This window comes from Homo sapiens, chromosome 7, assembly GCF_000001405.40.
Source record: "Homo sapiens chromosome 7, GRCh38.p14 Primary Assembly".
Classification (NCBI taxonomy): Eukaryota; Metazoa; Chordata; class Mammalia; order Primates; family Hominidae; genus Homo; species Homo sapiens.
The window spans coordinates 97,567,700-97,576,944 of record NC_000007.14 but is presented as its reverse complement, the minus strand read 5'-3'; the positions used below and the strand labels follow the sequence as shown (position 1 = coordinate 97,576,944).

The 9,245-nt window shown below is 36.4% G+C and overlaps 1 annotated feature.

Moving 5' to 3' along the window:
• Positions 301-879: an enhancer, noted in NCBI's record as "OCT4-NANOG hESC enhancer chr7:97205378-97205956 (GRCh37/hg19 assembly coordinates)". NCBI's record gives its function as "activates a minimal SCP1, AML or CMV promoter by ChIP-STARR-seq in naive H9 embryonic stem cells {active_cell/tissue: H9 hESC(naive)}" and the evidence as "EXISTENCE:reporter gene assay evidence [ECO:0000049][PMID:30033119]".

Below are 9,245 nucleotides of genomic sequence, written 5' to 3'. Positions count from 1 at the left end.
AATCAGACCAGTGGCCACATGGAATAGGTAAATAGTTGGAAGAGATTGACTAAAAAGGGGTGCAAGGGAACTTTTTTGTGGAATAGAAATGTTCTATATCTTGATGATATTTACAAGGGTATGTACAATTGTTAAGAGTCACCGATCTGTATGTACACTTAAAAAGTGTGATATTATTTTTATTGTAAGTATATTATACTTCAATGAAGTTTACTTTAAAAATATACCTTTCCTATATCTCTGTTGCAGTGCCTTGAAGTAATGGATGTTCATTGCAATATTGTTCATAAGAGTATTAAATTGGAAACAAATTAATAATTCATCAATAGAGAGACAGTTAAATAACCTATGGCCATAAAAGACTGGAGGCAGGAATCATTGAAATTACTACAAATCAGCAGAAATATCTACTCATTTATTTGCAGCTAGTACTATGAAACTTAATTATCAATAGACATACATTGTACTCTGGTTATTCCACATTTACTCAGACTCATTCTCAATCCTTCTATTCCCTACATATTGTCCTGTGTAGTTGATGCTTAGGGGCAGCATTGCCCAGATTCTCTAGTCTGCTGGTTTCCTGTGGAGTTTATCTAACACAGCCATCAACAAGACATTGGAGTGAAAAGAAAGAAGTAGGATTATTTCTTCACCATTCCCTCCCTGCTGTGTTTCAGGGTTCTGGCAGTGGCTGTGGGCCCCTAAGACTGTAACTTATTCTGTTGGGCAGCCTCTCCTCCATGACTCCACCTCTTACTCTGTTCTGATGACCTTATTTACACCCTTATTTCTTTCCTGCCTACAGCCATAGCAGCTTCCTGTTTTGTTATATCTGGGTTTCATAAACTTTGCCTACACCTCTGTAAATAGTCCTTTTATTAAAGTCTCTTGAATTGCTCCATTTAAATGAAAATTTTGTTTCTTCCCAAGACAGATTAACTGTGATCTCACTGAAATACTCTCAGCTGCATATGACAGGTTTACCTTACGAATGTTAAAACAACCAAAACAAAGATGAATTGGGCTAAACAAATCTAAAAACAGATTACTTTTCAGTTGCTATCATTTGACCATTTTCCATCAAGCAATTTATAGAGACTTGCTACTAGACTTTTAATTTTACACCTTTGAAGATATCTTTAGAATGATACATGTGTTTCTAATATTGAATGGAATTTAACAAAATAATTCAAATATCTTTTGCACAGTTTTCTGAGCTATTTTAATTGGGACTTTGATTTTTCTATGATTTCTTTCTCTTCCTTTACTAAGGGTATTACAGAATTCAGTTTTGCAGCAAGACCGCCTGAGGGTCTACTATCATTTAGTACTTTTATAAAATTTAAGGTGAGGCCGGGTGCGGTGCCTCACACCTATAATCCCAGCACTTTGGGAGGGCGAGGCAGGCAGATCACCTGAGGTCAGGAGTTCGAGAGCAGCCTGGCCAACATGACGAAACCCTGTCTCTACCAAACATAACAAAAATTAGCTGGGTATGGTGGTGCGTGCCTGTAATCCCAGCTACTCGGGAGGCTGAGACAGGAGAATCCCTTGAGCCCAGGAGGCGGAGTTTGCAGTGAGCCGAGATTGTGCCACTGCACTCCAGCCTGGGCGACACAGAGAGTCAGTCTCAAAAAAATAAAAAATAAAAATCACAAAAATTAACTCAAGATGGATTAAAGATTTAAATGTAAGACCTAAAACCATAAAAACCCCAAAAGAAAACCTAGGCAATACCATTCAGGACATAGGCATGGGCAAAGACTTCATGACTAAAACACTAAAAGCAACGGCAACAAAAGCCAAAATTGACAAATGAGATCTAATTAAACTAAAGAGCTTCTACACAGCAAAAGAAACTAGCATCAGAGTGAACAGGCAACCTACAGAATGGGAGAAAATTTTTGCAATCTATCCATCTGACAAAGGGCTAATATCCAGAATCGATAAAAAACTTAAACAAATTTACAAGAAAAAAACAACCCCATCAAAAAGTGGGCAAAGGATATGAACAGACACTTCTCAAAAGAAGACGTTTATGCAGCCAAAAAACATATGAAAAAAAGCTCATCATCACTGGTCATTAGAGAAATGCAAATCAAAACCACAATGAGATACCACCTCATGCCCGTTAGAATGGCGATCATTAAAAAGTCAGGAAACAACAGATGCTGTAGAGGATGTGGAGAAATAGGAACACTTTTACACTGTTGGTGGGAGTATAAATTGGTTCAACCACCGTGGAAGACAATGTGGCGATTCCTTAAGGATCTAGAACCAGAAATACCATTTGACCCAGCCATCCCATTACTGGGTATATACCCAAAGGATTATAAATCATTCCACTATAAAGACACGTGCACAAGTATGTTTATTGCGGCACTGCTCACAATAGCAAAGACTTGGAACCAACCCAAATCCCCACCAATGATAGAATGGATAGAGAAAATGTGGCACATATACACCAGGGAATACTATGCAGCCATAAAACTGATGAGTTCATGTCCTTTGCAGGGACGTGGATGAAGCTGGAAACCATCATTCTTAGCAAACTAACACAAGAACAGAAAACCAAACACCACATGTTCTCACTTACAGGTAGGAGTTGAACAATGAGAACACATGGACATGGGGAGGGGAACATCACACACCAGGGTCTGTTGGGGGTTGGGGGGCTACAGGAGGGATAGCATTAGGAGAAATACCTAATGTAGATGATGGGTTGATCGGTATAGCAAACCACCATGGCACATGTATACTTATGTAACAAACCTGCATGTTCTACACATGTGCCTCAGAACTTAAAGTATAATAATAATAAAAAAATTAGGCTGAATAGCCTGATAAGTACACCACCATTTTAATTTTTTTAAAAAACAGGTGGCACCCAACTTTCTTAAATGTGTTTATTAGGTATAAATCTGCCTTCCCTAGTTTGGACAGATTTCCTCAAAACTTTTTGAAGGATTTTGCACTGATAAAACCTCTTATACTCAGTAAACAATTGATTTAGACATTGCTAAAATATTAAACTGACCACTTTTCACTTGTTCTTCTCTGTCCTTTGCTAAATAACACAGTAATATATGTGTGTTATTCTCTGTTAGCTCTGAGCTAAAACTCAGAAGGAAGCAATGCCAAGAACTGTGATTACAGATTCCAAGTGAAGAGGCCACTATTGTCAAACATTTCTTCCTTGACTGGGAAAGATGAGAAGTCTATCCTGTTTAATATAATCACTCAAGTGATACTACACTGGATAATGAAAAATTGCACTTTATTTGGAATCAGAACATCTACCCATATTAACAGGAGCAAGAGCTATCTTTCTAGGACAGAAACTTGGAGCAACCTTCAGGTATTCAGCAACATTACCTGTGCAGATGTTGACAATACAGTCAAAGCTACCTGGCATTTATGAAAATCAAAATTGATTTTGTACTAAACCAAGAGCCTACGAAGACTTCACTTCAATGGATGATTTCTTTTGATTAGCTATATCGTTAGTTTTGGGAGTATGGGAGGTGATTAGCTTTGCTCAAGGAAGACGAATCCCTATTGTGAAAGGACAAGGAGCCTTTCCTCCTTTTGGCTGTGACACCAATCAGCTCTAATGTGAACTGTCATTCTTCAGTGCCCTGTAATTTTCCTAAAAGCCTCAGATTGGAAAATGCTGCTCAAACTGACAGCTTCTTTCTCTCCTTGTGTACTTGCACAGCAGGCAGATGTAGAAGTGACAGAAATGTGTCCTGTTTCATTACTTAATCTTTTTGATGGATATTGTGCTCAAAGAGCCTATCTCCTTATTCTACAGTTAGAGAAAGGCCCTCTTTGCTGTCATGGTTACATGTCAGTAGTGGAATTTTAAATAAAAATACATTGAAGTTGGTGAGAGCTTTTCTGCAATCTCCGTCTAATAGTGTCCCTGTCATTGATAGCTCTGCAGAAGGAAGTCTGTGTCTATTTCGAAGTGTTCAAACCAGTTTTCATAAAGCGATTAAGAAGTCGTTGGATGATCATGAAATGTATAAACTTCAATTGTTTGAGAATAAAATTGTCTTTATTCATTGTCTTCAGTTAGTATCTTATTTTTTGTTATTCTTCAGAAAATATTAACTATTTCAGTAACTATTTCCCCAGGGAGCTCAATTAATTCTCGTTTATTATTATTTTAAACCCTAAGTTTTTTTACAAAAATGTGGCATTCACTGAAACAGCATTCTATATACTGTTAACCAATTTACCCTATCATTTTTTTGTATAACACTATCTCTTAGACAACTTGCTCTAGTTACTATCTAAAATTCAATGAAGATAAACTTCACCTTATGTTTAACAGACATAAAATTACAGTCAATTTTGACATGATGAGTCTAATCATATTTCTGTTTAGGTTAATATTTTTTAATTAATTTATTTGAAAGCATGCAGCATGGCAAAATTATCTTGAAGTATTTCTGAAGTTATGCTTATTGCATCACCTGTAACTTAGTATTCAGCATTTATAAACTACTATTAAGCACTCACAATATTCAAACTTTTAGTACTGTCCATCAAGTTCCTTTGAAAATGAACACATTAATCCAATTTTAGACAGGAAAAAGTGAAGGAGAAAGATTTTGGAAAGTTGTAGGTTCCAGTAAGTGTTTATATTGTAAATACTCCTGTTTATATTTGTGTTTATATTGTAAATATATGTGTTTATATTGTAAATAGTTCTGTTTATATTTTCACTGTAATGACTGTAGCATTTTATTTTGAAAAATGAAGTTTCTGAGAAGAAAAAGTAATATGAGTCCAATGATAACTATTGCTCCTTTGCAAATAGACTATATAGCTATATTATGGTAAGTATATTGCAATATTAAGAATTTATGCTTTTGCTTGAGCCACATAAAATACAGTTAAAAAAGAATATAGCTTCGGTGATCTAATAAACAAAATCTTCCAAACTTGAATGCAGATAAGTATTTTTTTGCAAAAATGGCAAACACTTCCAGATAATTATTTACACTTTTACTTTTAATTTTTTAATTTTTAAAGATAATGTTATATTCTGTTTTTTTGGTGGTTAAGACATCTTATTTGTGTGAGAGATGTGTCCTGACCAACCTGGGTAGTAATTATATAATTCAGCTAGTCCTAACAATGTGTGTTACAGACTTCCAGTGGTCAGAGCCCCGTTTCCCTAGATTTTATGAATATACATATGTTTGGAATGCTGAGACATGCCAGTCAGTCTTGATTACTTTGATCAGCCTCCTTCTGTTTCTTGTGGAGGGGTGGGTAAATTGGAGTGGGGAGAGAGGCATTTTTTCAACAACTTCCATAAGCTTCAAATTAAGACACATTGCCTTCTCTCTTTAATAGACTTCTTGTAAGGGTAATCAATGAGCTAGATTCTGACCTATGGATTACTCTGTAAAACAGATAGGAGTGTGTGTGTGTGTGTGTGTGTGTGTGTGTGTTAAACATCAGCACTTTGGAAGGCTAAGGCGGGAGGAAGGCTTGAAGCCAGGAGTTCAAGACCAGCCTGGGCAACAATGCAAGACCACCTCTCTACAAAAAATAAAATAATTGCAGTTATGGTGGTGCACACCTGTAGTGCCAGCTATTCAGGAGGCTGAGGTAAGAGGAAAGCTTAAGCCCAGGAGTTCAAGGCTGCAGTGAGCATGATAGTGCCACTGCATTCCAGCTGGGGTAACAGAACCGGACCCTGTCTTCAAGGAAACAAAAAACAAACCTCATAAGACATTGTTATAACTGGTTTATGTGGTTAATATTTATTTAGTTTACCCACCTGTTTACAATTTCATTATTTTTTACTCCATCCTGCATCTCTAAGATTCATTTAAAAACATGTTCTTCTACTTGGAGATCATTCTTTAGTACTTGTTTTAATGCAGTTTTGCAGGTGATAGATTCTCTATTTTTTCTATGGCATGAAGATATTTTGTTTAATTCTGAATGATATTTTCAATGGCATAAAAATCAATTACTTCCTTTCAACCCATTGAGGAGATAATTATATTTTTGTCTGATAAGAAGTCCACTCTTGATCTAATTACTGCTCTTTGAAAATGGTGTATCTGGCCAGGTGCAGTGGTTCACACCTGTAATCCCAGCACTTTGGGAGGCTGAGGCGGGTGGATCATGAGGTCAGGAGATCGAGACCATCCTGGCTAACACGGTGAAACCCCATCTCTACTAAAAATACAAAAAATTAGCTGGGTATGGTGGCACACACCTATAGTCCCAGCTACTCAGGAGGCTGAGGCAGGAGACTCACTTGAACCCAGGAGGTGGAGGTTGCAGTGAGCTGAGACAGTGCCACTGCACTCCAGCCTGAGTGACAGAGCGAGACTGTCTCAAAAAAAAAAAAAAAAAAAAAAGAAAAGAAAACAGTATATATTTTTCTCTAGCTAATTTTAAGATTATGTCTTTACATTTGATTATTTCTGGTTTCTGTTACGATATGTGTAGGTGTGGATTTCCTTGCATTTGTTATGCTTGGACTGCTTTAAATCTGTGGATGATGTCTTTCATCACATTTGGAATATTCACAGTCGTCATCTTCCCAAATATTGCTTGTACAATATCCTCTCTCTTTCCTTTTCTTCTGGGTCTGGAGATAAATGTATGTTTGCCCTTTTCACTGTATTATCCATGCCTCTTATTACCTCTCTTTGGTGCATTTCATTCATTTGTTTTTCTGTTCTTTAATCTAGATTATTTCTCCTGACCTACCTCTCAGTTTACTGATTCTCTTTTTAGCTATGCCTAACTAGTTGTTATACTCATCCATGAAGTTCTAAATTTTAGTTGTTAGAACTTTGCACCCTATAATTTCTATTTTGTTCATTTTCATCTCCTTTTTTAAAAAAAATATGCTAGGCATTTTTTAATATTTCAGTTTTCTTTTGAACTCATTGAATATGACCAACATAGTTATTTTTAAAGTCTGTTTAAAGTCTGTATCTATTAGTTCAAACATATGGACCAACCTCAATTGGTATGATTAATTGTCTATTGTTTCTGCTGATTTATATTCATCTTTTCTTTTTGTGTACCTGGTTATTATAAATGGGATCCAGGCATTTTATTTGGAAAAGTGCTTATAGAAATAATTTGAGGTTTGGGTAATGTGATTTTTTTCTGAAAAATATTTTGTTTGCTTCTACCATGCACCTTTGGGCACTGTAATCTCTAATCTGGTATTACCTTAATTCAATTTCAAAATTTTATCAAACTCCATGACTTGATATTGGGCCATAGTCCATATCGGGGATAGTTCACTTCTGATTTAGCCTTACTTCTAGAGTTAAGCCATTTTAGGTTCCAATCCAAGCACAGGGATTTATCAGTTTCTCCACTTTGGTAAAAACTGGCTTATTCTTCTGTCTTCCAAATTCCATGAAGCTGAGAAAAGTGTTGCTTAGTAACTGAGCAGCTTCTTTGGGAATCAACAGATGCCTCCAGGGAAGTATCTCCAACTGCTAGGTGCCTGTCTCTGCCTTTTCATCTTCTCCTGAATCTTGACCTAGTAAATCTTCAGTATCTTCTTATCTATATGATGCCAACAAGTTTTTTCTCATCTTTTCTATGTCATCTGGGTGAATGTTGGTCTGAGCTATCTGATTTTCAATTAGTGAAAGTGGAAGTCTCATATTTTTTCTCATGTGATCTTACAGTTCACATCATCTAAAAAAATGATATGAAAAGTATTGAAGCAGCCATGTCTATAGCAGATATAAAAACTCAATCTGGCTGGGCACAGTGGCTCATGCCTGTAAACCCAGCACTTTGGGAGGCCAAGGTGGGTGGAACACCTGAGGTCAGGAGTTTGAGACCAGGCCGGCCAACAGGTGAAACCCCATCTCAACTAAAAATACAAAATTAGCTAGGTGTAGTGGCACATGCCTGTAGTCCCAGCTACTCAGGAGGCTGAGGGAGGAGAATCACTTGAACCCAGGAGGCAGAGGTTTCAGTGAGCAGAGATCGTGTCATTTCACTCCAGGCTAGGTGACAAGAGCAAAACTAAGTCCTGAAAAAACAAAACAAAAAACCTCAATCTGCAGAAGAAGCCATAAGCAAAATGAGACAGATATCATGAGATCGGCAAAGAAGAAAGGACATGCCACTTCTGATATGGAGTCTCTTGTTCTCTTTCTGAGCTTATTTTTGCTGTGACACCTAATTGCACAAAGCATAGTGATATATTTTTTATTCTTCCATTAAATCTCTCCCATTGCACTTTTTTTTTTTTTTTGCAAAGACGGTATATGTAGGTTCTGTTACTTGTAATTTAAATAATTTTTACCAGAGCAAGACCATTTTCTGAATTGACTTTTTGGTCATTTGATCTATTGTTACCTCTATATGCATGCACAACTGGAAGTTTATTAAATCTTTTTGGTCCCAAAAATAAAATGCTTTTGTCAACTCAGTGGATTTCAGACAATCTTTGCTGAACATCATGCTATTATGTGATCTTTTTTCTAAGGGAAACTTTCACATAGAGGCCTCAAATGAGGCGATATAAAATGCCTTTGAAAAGTCCCAAGGAAAAGAAGCATTATAAATCTCTCCAACCCTTGATTCATGCTACATTGTTTGTGATTAACCACACAAGGAAGTGTCATGAAGTCCATAGTGGAATTATCTTCTTGGAAGAGCATTTTACAGAATGTCCCACTACAGGATTTTAGAGATCTCTAAATCTGAGTTTTCCTATGACTTGTGAAAATAGACTTTAAAAAAAAAAACCTGCGTTGCCGGGGGCTGGGGGTGGGTATTTTATCTTAGTTTAAATGTGTACAGAGTAAGTCAGCTATACTTTTTAAAAATACTCTTCTGGGAAATAATAGGATTCATGCAGCAACTTTTAATGCCTGGAAAAATGATGAGAATTTTGTGCTTTTAAGTAGAGATTTCAGAAAATGATTCCTTTTTTTCTATTTACTTGCAAAATCAAAAGTAACCCTCAATAGGGTCGAGGCAATTGAACGTGGGGGTTTTTGATAAGTAAAAATTGACAAAGCACAGTCCTCTCTTGAATTTGCAGAACTATGAGTTAGCAGACAAAATGTTTATCATCTACTTGGGAAGACAAATCATAAATGCATGGAATAACTAATAACAAAGGCAGTATTTATTATGCATTCAGAATCCCGTGATTATACAGTAAAATCTAAATTGCATTCAATGGAGTGAGAACAGATGGAGTGTTAACCGTGTGGAGT